This window comes from Homo sapiens, chromosome 8 (genome assembly GCF_000001405.40).
Source record: "Homo sapiens chromosome 8, GRCh38.p14 Primary Assembly".
In the NCBI taxonomy this organism is placed as follows: domain Eukaryota; kingdom Metazoa; phylum Chordata; class Mammalia; order Primates; family Hominidae; genus Homo; species Homo sapiens.
In genome coordinates this window covers 90,167,621-90,186,493 of record NC_000008.11, presented here as the reverse complement: position 1 = coordinate 90,186,493, position 18,873 = coordinate 90,167,621, and the positions used below count along the sequence as shown (strand labels likewise).

The 18,873-nt window shown below is 38.2% G+C and overlaps 3 annotated features.

Annotated features, from left to right (window-relative positions):
* Positions 18,179–18,547: a transcriptional cis regulatory region, noted in NCBI's record as "candidate enhancer chr8.2223 targeted for multiplex CRISPR interference". NCBI's record gives its function as "positively regulates DECR1 gene expression with high confidence in K562 cells {active_cell/tissue: K562}" and the evidence as "EXISTENCE:mutant phenotype evidence [ECO:0000015][PMID:30612741]".
* Positions 18,252–18,396: an enhancer, noted in NCBI's record as "145 bp enhancer 124 fragment used in the MPRA reporter construct; PK_construct_4643". NCBI's record gives its function as "activates an SV40 promoter by MPRA in K562 cells {active_cell/tissue: K562}" and the evidence as "EXISTENCE:reporter gene assay evidence [ECO:0000049][PMID:23512712]".
* Positions 18,315–18,332: a transcriptional cis regulatory region, noted in NCBI's record as "GATA motif; MPRA enhancer 124 activity is reduced when this motif is scrambled". NCBI's record gives its function as "necessary for full MPRA enhancer 124 activity {active_cell/tissue: K562}" and the evidence as "EXISTENCE:site-directed mutagenesis evidence [ECO:0005528][PMID:23512712]".

Genomic DNA, 18,873 nt, shown 5'->3' with positions numbered 1-18,873 from the left:
TAGATATACATCTCTATATCTATACATCTATATAGAGCTGTAGATCTAGATAGATAAAGATATATCTCTATCTATAGGTAGATATCTATCTACATACATATACATTTCTATATCTCTCTGTAGATAGAAATACAGATGTAGATGGATATAGGGATGTGTATAGATATGGAGATGTATAGACACAGACATATACATATAAATTTATTATGAGAATAGTTTCATGTGATTATGGAGGCCAAGAGGTCCCAGGATCTGTCTGCAAGCTGGAGAACCAGAAAAGCCAGTGTTGTAATTCACAAGTCAAAAGGCCTGAGAACCAGGGGACTACTTGTGTGAGTCCCAAATCAAGTCCAAAGGTGCAAGAACCAGGAGTGCTGATGTCCAAGAGCAGAAGGTGGAGGTCCCAGTTCAAACAAAAAGAACAAATTTGCCCTTCCTGCCTTTTTTGTTCTTTTCAGTCCTTCAACAGATTGGATGGTATCCACCCACATTAGTGAGGGCAATCTTCCTTACTCAGTCTACTGATTCAAATGCTAATTTCTTCTGGAAACACCCTCTCAGGCACACCTGATAATTGTCTTAACAGCTATCTAGGCATCCCTTAGCCCAGTTAAGTTGACACATAATTATTAGCTATCATGAGTAGCATGTGCCAAGTAATCATTGTTTCATTTCTGAGCAGTTACCAGGAGTCAAGACATTTTCCTAGGCAGAGGGGACATAAAGATACATCCAGCATCTCTCCTACCTCCACGTTGACATAACAAATAATTACGTGTAGCATAATAAGTGCTATAAGATTTTTACCAGCTGCTAGGGCAGCTACTGTCCAACACCATAAAGCATATTAAGTCAGGAAGTTGCCCCAAGGCCACGGCATTTATGCCAACCAGAACCCTCAGATAGGGGCTACCTCAGCCTGCATCTCCAAACTGGATTGCGTGTGTGGTCTTTAAGACCCTTTGGGGATATGAATCTCTAAGCCTCAGGTCCAAGAGGTCAGTGGCATTCTAAAGCCAGAAAACTTCCTCTGTTAGACACAGAGGACCCTGAAATTGAATCCAACACCACCCTTATAACCCTGTGAAAGAGTAATTGTGTTTAAATTTACATAGCACATTGTATTTTTCAAAACACTTTTATAAATTTTGAGTCTTACGCCTTTTGTGATGTTTAGGGGAAAGACATTATACCTCTTTTCATTATAAACTTATTACCTGAAATATATCATATATTATATAACAGCTTTATATATCTTATAATTACTTAACAGGCTATGTATTAACAGATCCCAAATATATGAAGCACACATTTATCATATGGGAACAATAATGTGTTATTCATTCATAACGTATGTTTGCATTTTGATTGTTTAATATCTACCTATCCCATTAGAATTAAACTCTCAGAAGTCTTCTCTGTTTTTTCCATTGTTATATGCCCATGTTAGAGCAGAGCAAAGCACAGAGTGGGCATTGATTGAATGAAAGTTTAATGAATTTTACATTTGAGAAAACAAGAGTTAAGTGACCCACCCATAGTAAACCAGCTATTTAAAAGTACATGGAAGAGACAAGAGAGAACAAAAGTCTCCTGGCTCCTTTAAGTTTCTACCAGGTTTCTCCCACCATCGTAGAAACTTAATGAGGAAATGGCAAGCAGTATGGTTTTTCCTTCCTTCCCCCTGTCTGCCCACACTGTCTTCTCTCTGTTATACCCAACCTCTCACAACCACTGGATCCATCAATCACAAAGGCTTATGGATACCATCTCGGAAAACAGCACCAATGAAGGGCTTGGTTTAACAATCTGATCCTTTCAGGCTTGTGACTTACCATGTTGCCTCCATTTCCTTCACTGTAATGAGCTGGTACAATATGCCTTTGGTTAAATCCTATCCTGTTGTTTTTTTTTTTTTTAAGTTTTCCATTTAACTTTGGATCACTCTGGTAAAAATATCAGAAGTAGAGTCAGACAAAAATATCTAACACCCTCTGCAGTAGCACCGGTGTTGTTTTAATAAAAGAATTTCCGTTTTTCAGACTACATAGAACAGTTACAGTGTTTTGTAAAATATGGGCTATGGGATGAAAGCAGGTGCCAATATCAACTGTGATAACTGTGTACAGAATTATTCAAGGCTTTACTTGAGCATAAGAGAAATAAAGAAGATTTTCCTTCCCCAAAATATTGTCTTCATGGTCCCTGGATGGTGCTTGAAATGCTCATATTAATAAAGCCTTTGATTTAGGCATTGAAAACACTGTTAAAACATCAGTGGTCTTTGGTGAGGACATCATAAAATAGCATCATAAACCAAAGAACCCTTGGGTCAAATTAAAATATCAGAAAAGTTAACAAGTCATGTGACAGTACTGTCAAAGAATGAGATACAAAACAGGGAAGTTTAAGAGGAACAATTACAAATGATTCATTTTTTTCTCTATTCTCAGTCCCACTTCCTTTCATCAACTTTTATCTGGATTATTAATTAGTTCCCTGGCTCTAGTCTCTTCAAATTTCCAAACTTCCGATTTATCCTCTGGCTGCCAACAGAGTGATAAATGTAAGCATAAATCCGATTGTGTCATTCTCATATGTAAAATTAATATGTAGTTCCCCATTTCTAAAACTGAAATCCAAACTCCTTGGCATATAATAAATAAAATGGCCTGCTTCTTGACTGCTTTTCAAGATACATCTTCTCCTACTCTTTCATGAGTACCAAGATACTTTTGTTAATCATTTCCAAGTGAGACAGGAGTGGCCTTCCACTACACCTTGTTAGGCCTTTCAGGGTTTTTTTTTTTTTTACAGCTCAGTTGACAATATTAATAATTAAAAGTTTGTGATCCCCTACAAAATTCCAGGCTCTGTTCTAAGTTATTTAAATATCTCATTTAACACTCCTGTATGTACATCTTTGTAATATAACCTTTATTTTTTTTTTTTGCATGTGGAAAATGGAGCTTGCAGTGATTAAGTAACTTGTCCAAGTTGGTGGTAAGTGGTAGAAGTAAACCTCAAACTCAAGTCTGTTTGGGTTTAAAGCACCAGCAAACAACTATGACATCATGGTTACTAAACACATACAAATATGTCAAATATATCAACTCAACAGCTAATATTAGGTTCTGGAATGGAAACAGAATTCAAACAGTGCCCTTGTAGTTCTCAAAATTTGATTGAAAGAAGAGGTATTTTTGGAAATGTGACTTGCATGACATAAGGGATAACATGTTTTTATATGCTACTGTATATCAAGTACTGAGCCCATTAATTGTTCATTATCGATAATAAATATTTGTGAGTAAACAAGTGGAAGACCAATTGCTAGAAAAATCTGTGGTTTACTCTTTCCTCTATTCTTAAAATAGACTATGTTCAGAAACACTGGCAGAGCACTAATGCCTAAATAATATATTAGATCATTTTAGAATTGCTAATACAGAATTATGCCGTGAGATGTCACGGCCTATTGAAGGACACCCTGGGAGCTACTAAAGATATTCCATTACCTTGCACTGTGCTTTTCCTTTTTAGAACTCTTGGGGAAAGTGGCTCTCTGGAATTAATTTGCTTTGCCTGAGAAACTGCTATGCCTTAATTTTGAGTCAGCATTTTGAACCATGACACTATTATTTTTTTTCCCCTCTCACATTGTCTACTGTATGCCTTAGAGTCAAATTTCTGATTTACCCTAAGCAAAAATATTGATGTTTGATGTTCAGGATACATCATTTAGCCTAAATCTTAACTTCATTTTATAACTCTACCTTTTTTTTTCCATTTGTCTAATTATTCTCCACTGCATTCATGTTATATAGTGTGTCATTTATTCATTATTTAACAAATTAATATGCCTGAAGTGTCCTCATAGGATTAATTATGTTGTTCATTCATTCATTCAATGATCTACCTAACTGTAGATCACATATTCTGAGCCAGGAGCTTTTCTAGGTACTGAGAATAATACAGAAGTGAACGAAAAAAACTAAATAATAAAATGCCTGTGAGGTTTGTATTCTAGTCGAAGAGGTAGACAACAAATAAAGTAAATACTTAAAATATGGAGCATGCTAGGTAGTAATAAATGCAAAGGAGAAAAATTATCCTAAAATAGGAGCTAGGAAGTTTTAGGAGCTGGAATGGTGAAGAGCAGCAATGATATAAAGGGAAGGACTCATCAGGAAAGCAAGATTTCATTAAAGACTTGAAGCAGGTGAGACAGTGATCCATGAGGATATCTGGTAAATGGAAATTCAGAGAGCTAATGGGGTCCAGAGTATTCAGAGCCTTGAAGATTATTTTAAGAATGTTGACTTCTACTCTGAGGGAGATGAAAAGGCACTGGAAATTTTTGAGTAGAAAGCTGATATGATCTAACTTATGTTTTCACAGAATCACACTGGCTTCTCTATTGAGAATAGACCTTAGGACATAATGGTGCAAGCAAGGTGACCTGTTAAGAGATAATTTTATATTACAGGCAAAAGATGATTGTGTCTTAGACCAGGAAGATAGCAGTGAATGTGAAGTCATCAAATTCTGGATATATATTTTACGATAAAGGCTACATTATTAGCCAATGAATTGAATGCTGGTTGTCAGATAAAAAGAGAAGTCAAGAATGATGCCAATGATTTTAGGTGTACACAATTGGAAAAATGGAGTTGCCACTAGCTAAGGTGGGGAATACTGTGAACAGAGCAGATTGTAGAGGGGTTAGGGATAGCAGGAGTTCAATTTTAGTCATATTAAGTATAACCCTTTTATATGTATCCAAGTGGGGATGTCAAATACACAATTGAATATACTTTGGAGAGGTCCAGGATGGACAGATATGTGGCACATGTAGAAAGAGAGAGGTCCATGGACTTCCCTGGGGGCACTCCATGTTTAAGGTTTAGGAGAAGATGAGGAAGAACTAGCAAAGACCGATACTGAGGAGAGCAGCCAGAAAAGTAGAAGCAAAACAAGGAAAGTGTCTTTCTTCAGCACCTAGAACAGCCCAGGCAATGGTAGGTCCTAAAAAAAGCACTTGCTGAATGATTGAGTAAACGAATGTGCAACTGATGTCAAAAAAGATGGGAACTGAAAAAGACCATATAATTTAGTAAAATGAAGATTTATTGTTATCTTTGATAAGTGTACTTTCAGTGAAGGCACAGAAGCAAAATCCTGACTGCAGAAGAGATAAGGGGATATGTTTATTTGGAAACAGTGAGTATAGGTAACTCTTTTAAGGACATGAAACAGGAGGGCATGAATAAAAAGGAAGACATAAATAGCTGGAAGGAAAAGAGACTGTGGTTTTAAGATACAAGAAATAAGAGCGAGTTTGATCTAGTCGAGAAAGAAAAATCGGTGAGGCAAGAAGGGTTGGAATCTAGTGTGCTTGCGTAGGTGTTGGCTTTTGCTAGGAGCAGAGACAGATCAAACATAGTAACCCAGGAGAAAAGTCACTTGGAACCGATGCAGATGGGAGGATGATGCAGCGTTGAGAGCTAGTGGAAGTTTTCTTCTGTCTGCCTCTATTTTCTCAGTAAAATACAATGGAAAACCATGAGTAGCAAGCAATGATGTGCAAGAAAGTCTGGGAGGTTTGAGAAAAGTGAAGATATCAAAGAGATGGTGTAGAGACAGAGAGAATGACTGGGCCAGGAAAATACAGTATACTTGCTGAGTAGCATTATGAATTCACTTGAGACTGGGCATGGTGGTTTATGCCTGTAATCACAGCATTTTGCGAGGCCAAGGCTGCAGCTCACTTGAATCCAGAAGTTTGAGACTAACCTGTGCAACATGGCAAAACCCTATATCTACAAAAAATACAAAAATTAGCCACACATGGTGGTCTGCAGTCGGGAGGCTGAGGTGGGAGAATTGCTTGAACCCAGGGAATCAAGGCTGCAGTGAACAGCGATGGTGCCACTGCACTCCAGCCTGAGCAATGGAGAGAGACTCTGTCAAGAAAAAAAAGAAAAGAAGAAAGAAAGAAAGAGGGAGGGAGGGAGGGAGGGAGGGAGGAAGGGAGGAAGGAAGGAAGGAAGGAAGGAAGGAAGGAAGGAAGGAAGGAAGGAAGGAAGGAAAAGTTGAAGGACAAAAGACAACATATTGGGTAGAGTGTACACTGCTTGGGTGACAGGTGCACTAAAATCTCAGAATTCACTACAAAACAATTCATTAATGTAACCAAAAACCCCGTGTACCCCCCAAAATATTGAAATTTTTAAAATTATAGTTACAAAAAAAGAAAAAGAAGAGTTCACTTGATCTTAGTGACCACATATGTGAGGTGTATGTTTTCCTCCAGCGTAATTTCACCTTGCAGGCCTAGATGCAGAGGAGACATGGGTTGCATTCAACCTGGTTTAGGAAGTCACCAAGAGAGGTGAGACACTGAAAAGATATTATAGTAAAATAAGTGGATTGAAGGTCCCAGTCAAAAAGTTGTTGGCATATCAAAGACTCTATCTTTCCTGCACCTTTGAAAGTCATCTTAAATAAATCTTTTTTTATAAGTGGGCGTAGCATATAAAATTAATTAAACTAATATTCATCATACAAGACTCCTGTCTAGAGTAGGAGTCCCTCGTATGTTCTTTCATCAACCTTTGTATTTTGTTTAAATCAAATTTGTCATGTTTTGTTTGCTGAGATGTCTACTCCATTAGATTTTGGGATACTTGAAGGATCAAGCCATTTTCAACTTTTCTTTATATCATTAGAGCTAACACAATGCAAGGACATGGTTTGTTTACTTAACATACATACACTTGTACTTATGGATGACTGGATAAAAAATGTATCTTTGCATACAGCCCAGTGGTAACAATGATGGCTCAACTAGGTACAAAACCACTTTTACTACTTACTGCTTGTATTTGACAACTTAACCTCATTGTGCCCCAATGGATACAGTAGGAAAATGGCAATAGTATTGCTACTAATAATAGGGCTGTTGTAAAGATGAAATAAGTTTAATATATGCAAAGTCCTTAGAAAAACTAGCAGCTGGTAAATGCTCGATGAATGTTAACTGTACAATTGGTATATCCTTCCCCTCCTCTCTCCTATTCAACCTTTGAAGACTTCCTTAATCCCCCAGTATCCATGTAGAACTTGGTTTATATCAATAGATCACTATATACCCACTCTGAATGGTTTTAGAGTAATGCAGGGGAAGGGGTCTCACTAAATTGCAAGACTCCTTTGAAGCATGGATTGTGCTTTATTCAATGTTTAATTCCCTGGGTCTGGGACAGTTCCTGGCATGCAGAATGTACTCAATATATGTTTTTTGAATTGAATTGAACAGGACTTGGTACAGTGCTATATTTGGTTGATAAACTCGGTTCCTCAGAGGCAGTAATGAAGATCCTGGGTGTCTCAAGGTGGGGAAAATCCTAGAAAAAATCTACATTAAGAGAGGTAGAAAGGTAAGAAATGTAAAGTGTTCCTATTTCACAACTTGCCTTGGCATGGACTGGGAACTTTTCCTCCATCCCCTTGGAATGTCTCTGCTTTTTAAACCTGGCCATTTATAACACAATTTTTCCTACCTGACAAGTTGAATCAAAATAAATATCCACCTGGAATTAAGGGGAGATATTAGAATGATTTACCAATAACATGTCAAAATTCCACCTAGAGGGTGTTTGAGGGTAAATAAAATTGACAGAGTAAGAATCATCTTAACTCTCCGCATCTTTTTCTTTCTCCCTATTGTTGTCTTTCTTTTCCTCAAAACACCAAAATTCCAAGTACAATACCATGTACTCCCCACTTCTTTTGACAAAGTCAGTTTGGTAAAAGTATACCTCCCAAAAAACACTCCCTAGACTCCAAATCTGAGGAACTACCCTTGAACAAAGATACTTAAAAAAATCAATAAACTTAATAGCCACATTAATAAAAGCAAGACTTATTTAAAAAAAAAAGAAAGAAAAAAAGAACTGTAGCACTTAAAGGTAACTATTCAAGATGGAGGAAGATGTGAATGCCTGAAAAAGTTTCCACTAACCATGCACTTGAACAATCTAAAGGAAGTCTTTGGTTTACCAGGAAACCAAAACAATAGCTGCCACCAGCAATTGTCCTACCCAAGTTACACTCATGATGCCAGAATTTTGTGCAAATCTCCCCTGAAGGTTTATAGTGACAGGGATGCTTTCACTTAGAGTAAATATTGGATTTGCTGCTGTTCTCAGGGGCAAAATACTAAATGTACATAAATAAATGTCCTCACTTTATCCATTAAGGAAGATTTCTCACATAGTCAAAGTAAGATGAAAGCCAGTCTCCACTGTGAATATTACTAGACATCTGATATTTATCAAGTGGTATGTGGGTGACATTATTCTCTGGGAGAAAAAAAAAAAGCCCTGATTAATAGCGTTTGCCAAATTCCTTGGTGTAAATACTCCCACTATGACCACACATCTAACAAGATGTTACTAAATGCAAAGATGCAAGCCAGTACCAGCCAATGCCAGCATATCACTGGCGTTACCTGTAAACTAATTAATTGCCCCCCTCCCCAGAATTAGAGCTGAAGTGGTTATCAGTCTAAACACCCTGCCCCCCAACCAACTGCAAAAGAAGAGATACAAATAACAAAGCATCCAATTCCCTCATCTTTAAGTTATCTTTCGGATAGAGCAGGTCCTTGTCATAGGGTGAGTTTGCAAGTTTGAGAAATTCATGGAATGCCCCATCAGAAAAGAAAATACTTGATGCTGGCTGCTGTCATTTAATTGCACGTTCAGCCATACACTGACATTAGCTGTAGCAGTGAAAAAAGTAGCTGAGGAGTAGGTGCTGGTTCTATCTTGGTTTCCCACGCCTCCTCGTTCCCATTGACCACACTGTTAAATCCAGAGCTGTCACCCCACTGGTCTATCATTGGAAGAAGGTGGGGGTGTTTAAAGAGACCAGCAAAATAATTTCATTCCACCTCTTCACAGTTCTGCCCATACTTGGGGTTATATAAAATTGGCCAATAGGAATAAGGAGAATTTAAATAATGAGATCTTTATAGATCGTACATATTCTCAAGGAGTATATTTTCTTTTTTAATATAATTTTCCTGCTACAGCTAAGCATCAGTCTGCTTCTGAAGGCATGCCATCAACACTTGCCACTCCGTGGTTTCCTGGGCAAAGATTAACTAATATTGTCTGAATTGTGACAAGCTTTCTATTTGTGGCTGCAGACAGATGGACCCAGTTCTGTGTGTGCCTCCATTGCAACCATTCTGCTCTGAAATTCTTTTAATTGTGGAAAAAAAAAAAAAAAAAAAAAAACCCTGAGCAGGGCTAGTCCAAGGATCTATATTTCCAGTTTACTTACACTCTATAAATAAATTCTATCATATATCATCAGACATCCCCTTTGGAATTTAAGAAATCAAGTATCTTCTCATTCTTTCATTTTCCTAAGTCTGGGTAAATCTATGGGGAAAAAAATCTGCTCCTATTAACATCCCATGCCCTAATGAACAGCACAGCATGTGGCAAGTCTCAAGGTCAGGCTGTTAAATTTGTTCAGAAAATGAAGTTGATTTTCAGAGTTGCAGAGCATAAGGGACAGTGCAGCATATCCTGACTTCACAAGATAACTGTTCATGTGTGTGTTATTTCTTTGAAATTACTTTAGTTCTGGTGAAAAATATCCAGAGAGAACAGGGGAGGTGAGGATCCTCTTTCCGTTCTTAAGATAGCTATAGCATAAGCATCCAAACAAATAGTTTTTTGTATCTTTGCCACAATTCTCTCAGCCTCTATTTTAGCCCCTTTCATTGTAATTTACAATTTTTCTGTCAGCTTACACGTGTTTACTTTTCTTTCCCGAAAATGCACACCCCATGAGGCAGTGATCAGATCTGTTTCCAGATTATTTTATGCCCAGTGCCCAGCACCAGGCCTGGCACACACTAGTTGCCCAGTAAATATGTTGGTATTCGTGTATTTCATCTTTGGAGGCAGGGTGTCTGCTTAGTGCCTCAGTCCCTCTTTACTACTTGTCCTACATCAGGGCATTACCTCTCTAAATGACTAACTATGATGTGTGAGACAGATGGGTGAAAAATACAGATTTAAAACTAGATCCTCCAACTCCAACAAGGGTACAGACCCTGCTGCAGGATCTGACAGGGAATTCCACTCTCCCCTCAAGCAGTCACCATTGGGGAGCTTCATCACAGGGTGGCGAACGACAGCCCACTCTCAGAAACACCTGAAGAATAAGACAGTGAAGAGATTCAAGCAAGCAAGAAATGTCAGGTAAGTCTGAGAAAATGAGCAGGTAGTTCACGAGATTCTAACTTGGACACAGGGGTAAGGTCGGGATCCAGGGGTTCAAACTATGGAGTATGTCAAGCCTCGGGAGTGGCAAAGAAAGCCAATGATTGTAATTGATGGACCAAGTCAGAGCCAGAATGGGAACCAAGGAGATGATGCTGATCTCAAGAGCATGTATCTATGGCTCTTTAAATCCCTTATTCGCAAGGTCAAAGCTGATCCTGAATCCAGAGTGAGGCTTGACTTACATTTGGAAGTTGAGTGGCCCCAGCAGCAAAGTGTAAAGCACAGTAGCTAATTACAACACAAAATACCTATTCAACATTCCAGATAGCCAACTGTACTGAAAAATAAGGAAGGCATACACACACACACACACACACACACACACACACACACACTCACACACACACCACACATTTCCCTCCAGGATATTAAATCTACTTTCTCACATCAGCTTGACCCTACTCCTCAGAGAGAAATAAGTGTACTTTGATTACAGAAAGAATATAAAGACCATATGAAAGCTCAGACAATAGAAGGTAGAAGGTATGTGGATGCAGGGACCTCAGTCCCCTGATTATCTGATTCAGTGCTCTTTTCAAAAGACGCTGCTGTTTGCCTTTTGTAATGTGGAAGTTTATACCAGTATTGCAGTATCAATTTAATTTATCATTAGACAGCTGTGCCTGCAAGCATTGCAGCCTGGATTTGAAGAGATGATCCCAAGAGGAAAAGGTCTCAAGGGGGTGCAGTGATAACAACACTTATAAATTGGCTTCCACTGAATTTGATTCTTATTGTTCTGTTTTTCTTCAGAGGGAAAAAATGAAAACTAAAAAATTTTAGTAAGGGAACTAAGAGCACAGGAGACTGAGATCGGTTTCTTCATGACTCACCTTCACTAAGCACACATCACATGTTAAATGAAACCGAACAAAACCAGATTCTCTGTTGAGGACTATCCCTAGTCTTCTGTCTGGAAACCCAAGGCCACAGGCAGTGATAAAGGCCAGAGGTCATCAAAGTAGTGCCCCTGCCCCCAACCAAGCGTACTGTCTCTGGACTCACTCTACTCCTGCTGCCTGGCGAGAGTCACTGACTTGGAGGTTAGTCTTACAGTGGTGCTTCTGGAACAGAAAAGAGAAGTCTTGTTGGCCACCAGAAAAAAATATGCCCATCCTCTAACAACTCCCTTTAGGAGACAATGTACTCTTCTCTCAAGCTCTCCTCTAAACTTTTCTGGGTCTCAGAGTCCCCATTTCTTGGACACATATCCAATCCCAGTATGCTTTGCAGGATGGAAATGAACTTAAATCTGAACATCTAAAATAAAAGCCTTGGAAAACATAGGGATAATGACAATGGTTTATGCAAATGCTGAGTAGAACAGAAAATGCACACAGTTGTTGCATTTGGCCCAAAATTTGAATCTCTGGATACTAGGTGAATCAATGTTTTTGAATTATAGTGCAGAAAGGGTGCCCATAAAAGCCAGCAGAAACACATAGTTTCTGTGTAATCGAATTTGTCAGTGTAGTCACTACTTGTAGTACCTGTCACGACCAGTTGCTAATTGCCCCAGGATGGAGCTCTGAAACCTGTGGAGATGCTTATGACTCCAGGAACTCGTAAAGCAGAACTGTAAAAATATTCCTGCTGCCTGTGCAGCAGGAGCCCTGGGAAATAATTAGCTCTAGTAGCCCTGTCCAGATACACCAGACTCTCCAGTTAGAAAGCAAACTCCTTAATAGATAAAATATAATGTATAAGCACAAGGAAATGGATGTGCAAACGTGCGCCCACACTTGAGACAACAGAACACTGCTTCTTTCCAGGGATTTCATGTCACTGTTTCCCCTTCCTTCCTTCCTTCCTTCTCTCTCGCTCTTGCTCTTTCTCTTTCTTTCTCTTTCTCTTTCTCTCTCTTTCTTTCCTTCCCTTCTTTCTTTCCTTCCTTCCTTCCTTCCTTCCTTCCTTCCTTCCTTCCTTCCTTTCTTCTTTCTTTCTTGACAGGGTCTCACTCTGTCACCTGGGCTGGAGTGCAGTGGCACAATCATGGAGCAATCACTGCAGCCTCTACCTCCTGGGCTCCAGCCTCCCAAGTAGCTGGGACCACAAGCATGCACCACCACACCTAGCTAATTTTTTAATTTTTTTGTAGTGATAGGGTCTCACTATGCTGCCCTGGCTGGTCTCTAACTTCTGAGCTCCAGCAATCTTCTCACCTTGGCCTCTCAAAGTGCTGAGATTACAAGCATGAGCCAACATGTCCGGCTACACTTTCTTGATTTGACATAAATCTTGGATAAATAAATGTTCTATTCCTTGTTTCAATAACAAATAATGTGTATTAATTATTTATTTTCCTTTCTCATTGAATTTTTTTGTTATTTTAAGGTATAGATTCTTGCCTTCACAGCAGACAAGGCCTCAGCATCAGTCCTGGCCTCTGTCCCATCAGGGTTTCCAGTTTCAAACAATAATATCCCATTTATATTAAGAAATTCATATTTTACAAAGGGTTTTCCTGGATATAATTCCACTTGCTCTTAACAATAGCCCTGTCATACCCATTTCAGACATGAGGTTTGTATGTGCTTGGCGTTCTTCAAAGCATTGGGTTACAGAGAGAAGACTGAAAGCCCAAAGAAGTTTACACTGTAATAGAAAGAGGACAAATACAAATAAGTAAATAAGATGCATTCTGGTAGTTGTGCTTCAAAGAGAAAAGATGGGGGTAGAGGGGTTGATGAGAGCTCTGGAGGTGGTGACAATTGAAGTGAGATTTAGAGGACAAGAAGGAGAAAACCATACAAAGACCCAGCAAGGTGCATCCCAAGAAAAAAACAGCAAATTCAAAAGCCTAAAACAGGAAAGAGCAATAAATTGGAGGCCAGCATGGCTGGGGTATAGTGAATAAGGTGGAGACGAGAGAAAGAAGTAGGATTCGAGATTAAATCAAAGAGGTAAGTAGGAGCCAGGCCTTGCATCCCCCATAAGGAGCCTTTAGAACATTTTAACCAGATGAGTGACATAAAAATAATAAAATACAGTATTTAAGAGCTCAAGTAACAGACTTCCCACATTCAGATCCCGCTTCTGTCAATTACTAGCAATATATCCTTGTACAAGTTTCTTATCTTTCTTATGCCTCAGTTTTCTCATCTATAAAATGGAAACAGATATAATATCCAACTCAAAGGGTTCAAAGGAACAAATTCAGGTAAAGAGCTTAGAATGGAACCTGGTATTATAAATAATAAGTACTCAGTAAATATTATTGTTATTATGTTTAGAGAAATCATTCTGAAAGCTCTGTAAGGATGGACTGTGAAAGGCAAGAGTGAAGACAGAGAAGCCAATTAGGAGTCTGTTGCCATGTCTAGGTGACAAATGATAGATGCTTAGATTAGGGTTGAAATGGTGGAAACAGGGAGTAGTTAAAATCAGAATCTATTTTGAAATTCTGCCAACAGGACTTACTAACAGAGAGAAAGCATGGTATGAAGGAGAGTCCAATTTGACTCCCATGTTCTTATTATTTTTCCGGAGAACAAAATGGAGGCTGGTGCTCTGAAGCCTGTGAGCATATGAGGACAGGAAACCAATGGTTCTGCTAGTTGGAGGTATCTATTAGATATCCAAATGGGCGTGAACATATGGGTCTATATCCCAAGAGAAGGGTAGAAATGTGAATTTTTTAAGTTATGGGACTTGATGGAAATAACTAAGAGGTGAATGTCAATAGAGGAAAGAAGGCCAAGGATTGAGTCATGAGGATATCCAGCATCAAGAGGTGTGATGGAGGGGACAGAAGGATCAGAAAGGAGACTGAGAAGGAGGGACAGGTAAGATAGAAGAAAATCCAGAAGCATGTCTCAGAAGCCTAGAGAAGAAACCATCTCAAAAACTTGAGCACATCTGTGGCTGTGTCCATTCTACAGATGAGCATTCAGAGCTGTAAGCATCGAGGTGCTAAGTATAGATAATCAGTGACCTCAATAGTGAGAAAGTAGTAAGTCTCAATGAACGTGGAGAAATGGTGGAATAGAATGACAGTCATGCATCGCTTAAAGACAGGGACACATCCTGAGAAACGTGTTGTTAGGCAATTTTATGGTTGTGCAAACATCACAGACGGTGCTTACACAAACCTAGATGAGATAGCCTACCACACACATAGGCAACAAGGTATAGCTGTTTCTCCTAGGCTACAAACCTGCACAGCATGTTACTCTACCGAATGCTGTAAGCAACTGTAACACAATGGCAAGTATTTACATATCTAAACATATTTAAACATAGAAAAGGTACAGCAAAAGTATAGTATCATAATCTTATAGGACCACCATCATATACGTGGTCTGTTATTGACCAAAATGTCACGTGGCACATGAATATAACAGAATAAGGGAAGTCAAGAGACAAAGAGAGTTGACTGACTGAAACAGATTTCGGAAGTCGAATAATTATTGGTGTTGGTCTAGGATTTTACCATGTGAAGAAAACTGTTAGAGCTGAAAAGATCCAAGATCAGAAACAAGGAACTGGGACTTAGGGAAAGGAAATGACATGTCTAAGAGAGCAAGTTGAGCCGTGGCAGCATTTACTAGGAATCCTGTGCTCTTGACACAAAGGTATTGCAACCTTAAGTATTGGCAAGAATAAAGGTGACATGTTGTCAGATGAAATGGAGAATATGACCTATTTTAATTGTTTCGACCATGTCATACAACTTGGATGCTGGTTTAAAAAGTATCCTTTTATCTTGAAAAAATGGAAGGAAATGTTTCAAAAGAAGAAAAAGCTAAATATCCAAAGCTGTACATTGCATCATTACTTACAATAGAGAAAATGGAAATGATATGCAATGGAAAATCATTCAGCATTGTGGTTTACTAGAAGAGACCTTCAAAGAGCAGCTGATGCACCCACAAAATCTAGAAAGTCATCCCCCACTTGTTCAAAGCAGAAAACACACATTCTGTGCCTAAAGAATTCCAGGGTAGAAATGCCTTATAAAAAAGAATGGGGACAGCATGTTCAAACTTCTTTTTATTAGAAATAAAATAAACCTTTTTGGAAATAGGCAGTGACATTTTTCAGAAAGCTTAATTTTGGTTCTAGTAATATCTTCTTTTAATAATCACTAACAGCAGAATTTTAATCAAAGTGTGCTTATATTTTACTTCTGTAAAAAGAAAATTAGTTTGTCTTTAGTTTTTTAAAAAAAGGATTCAATGAGATATCCGTGTAATTAATTTTGAAATTATCTTATTTCCAGACTTATCTTTAAATAGATATTGGTGAAATAGATATTTTCAAAACCTCTTGACAGGATATTTTTGAAAAGTAAAGTGTTTTGTAAATAGATAGAATTGTATAATATCTCTAATGCAAAAAAATGTATAAAGGACTTTAAAACTTATGATATAAACTGTTTTTGCTGTTCTAATAATTTGCTTAGAAATGACATCCACCAAAACCCCCCAAAATATTTAACATTAATTTTGATGAAAGATGTCATTGAAAAGTTTTCCCTCTTGGAAGTAAAACATTAAAAATTGTATGTGTGTGACGGTTGAGGGAGAGGAGTTGCAGGACTTCATGATGCCCTCATCAGCTGAAGACCAGGAGAGAAACTTATGTCTGGATGTAATAGAGGCTCCATTTTGAAAACTTCAAAAGGCCAAGAAAATTAAAATGTAGCTCTGGCCTAATCAAAATTGGGTTTTTAATCAGTTTCTAGCACTTCGTTAGCTCTTTTGCCATAATAATTTCATTTTCCAATTTTATGATAACTTGTGGACATCTCATCATGCCACTATCAAAATGCATGCTCTTTGGGGACTAGATCTGTTTTTTTTTTTCTATCACCCACAGAAATGCACAGTTCCTACAGAAATCTAAATATTCAATAAATATCGATTGTTTTAATAAATGTCTGAATAAATTGTTAAAGTTGTAGCATATAATTTGCATGCCTTCTGTGGCTGATTCCTGTTAGGAGTTCTGCTATGCATAAAATAAAATGTTAGACTAAAAACACTACATGACCAGTATACTCTTACCTATAGATTTACGGGAACATTTGGACTCTAACTTGCTAGGTTTTTAAGGTTTTTAAATTAAAGAAAAGTTGTATCTAATATTATAAATGAATCAATGTTGAGCTTATTGTTCCAGAAAAGATAGCAGTAGTAGAAACTGTTGGTTGTTAACTGCCTACCAAAATTCATCCTCCCCAACCTAATTATATTTCCCTATCTCCATTGCAATTGAGTATGGCCATGAAACTAAGTTCTCTCTGATGGAATGTGAGGGGAAGTGGTGTATCTCTTTCAGATATGGCCCACAAAAACCGTCTCAGGAAGTTGCCTTCATCACTCCAGCTTACAGGGATGATGACATCCAGAACATTACAAGTTAAAGATGGCACTACCACTTTTACTTTGGTTCCCTGAATGGTTGTGTGGAGCAGAGTCCCCTTTAGTGATGTGTGACATCCATTTTGGGCTGTTTTGTAAAGAAAAAATAAACTTCTACTGAGTTTGAGTCAATTATATCTTGAGTCAATCTGTCATAACACTTTAGCCTATCCTAATTAAAATACATAGGACTTATTGAGTGCCTCCTCTCTGCTAGGCAAGAGGCTAGAGAGACATTTCCATTCCATTTCCATTTCTAAGACATTATTAAATACTATATTTTTCAATCTGGTTTTGAACTCTGATGTGTCAGGCATCACTGAGTATTTTATATTTACTGTCTTATCCTCCCAATAGCCCTATGAGGTAAGTACTGCTATTTCCCCACTTCACTAATAAGAAAATAGAGGCTTTGGAAAATTTAGAAATTGGTCCAGAGTCACACAGCTAAGAAGTATTGTAGCAATAACCAAACATAAACAAAATCCATGGGGCCATCCACTGAGCTATGCTGTCTTGGCCAGACACTGTATCCTTAAGGGATACCTCCAAATGCAATTGCTACATCAGAACTGATGTTGAAGGATGTAGGTCCCTTTGTGCTAAAAACTCTGATTTGTGCCCTAGTGTGAATTCTAAGAGGTATGTTGCAACATGACTGAAAATGGTCAAGTGTTCTGTCTAGGACAAGTGATTGATTCCCATCAGAACACTTTTATACTCACTTCTATGCTATGAAGCCCCATACATCAATAGACCCTGTGTCTTATTCTATGCACATCAATAAACTGGATTAGGAGTTGGGGGTTACAAAAAAAGGTCAACAGTACAAATTTTGACTTTGTGGGGAGATCACAGAGACTAAGTACACATCTACATGAAGCAAGTAATCAATGATAAGTGATCCTAAAGGTTAAATAACCATGGAACATAACTCAGGGTTTGACATCTCCAAGCCCGACCTCTGCTGTGCAAGAGATTTTCATAAGCAGTAATGCCCTCAGCAGCTATTGCAGTTTTTACACTCTTTAGAGAAAGATTTGAGTATAAACACACTGGACACAAGAACCTTGAATGTGATACTAACAGTGGTCTGTATTTGAGTTTCCTTATATAAAAGGAAACTCTTGGGATGAAAGCTATCAAGAACATTTTAATTTGCTTGGTTTAGTAAAATAAATGCCCCCATCGGTGGATACAACAACACATAGATACATCTATAAGTAATTTCTTTAAATCACTCTTCAGATACAACTTACATTGAAGTTTCTCTATTTTTAATTAAGGCAGCTGCTTGTTTTGCTATGATATAAATTTTATTACCAGCATTAAAGCCAATAATGTAACTAGCTTTCAAATAGTGGAGTGCCTTTGAAACTCAAATTCTCATATCTGGAGTTATGTTTGCTAGGTTTGAGATTTTGCCTTTTGCAGCATCAGCTTTTGGTTCAGACTTGCCCTTTGAATATGGTCTTCTGATGAGTCTTCTGCCTAAAGAAGTAGGACTACACAGCTAATTTTTCTAGGAAGAATTTCTTGGCCAGCCATGCATCATCTCTGTGTTGACACTGTAGTATATCTTATCATCCTGCCACAGCCTTCTTCACTTTTTCCTGAACTTTTGTGACTTTGGCAGCCTCACAGGCTCCCACTGCTAAACTATGTAGGAACTCATGCCCCTGAAGAAACAGACAAGTAAGGCAGAGGATTTTAGTATTGTTTCTCCATCTCCAGCTGGGTACCCTCAACCACAAGCTTATCTCTTCTTGCTTTCCTGTAGAATTATTCATCAGAACCGTTAGATTCCAGATCCTTAATGTAAGTTTCTGCTGACTTCATCTTACTAAACATGAGATGCTTGAGAAGATAAAATGAGATAATGCATACAAATTGCCATAATCTCTGATGTCATTAGAATTTAATTATTATCACCTTTTTTTCAGATCATTTATTGAACCACAGTTCTTTTTTTCAGACAGGGTCTTGCTCTGTAGGCTGGGCTGGAGTCCAATGATGCAATCTTGGCTCATTGCAGCCTTGAACTCCTCAGCTCAAGAGATCCTCCCACCGTAGCCTCCTGACTAGCTGGGCCTACAGGCATGTGCCACCACGCCTGGATTTTTTTTTTTTGTTTGTTT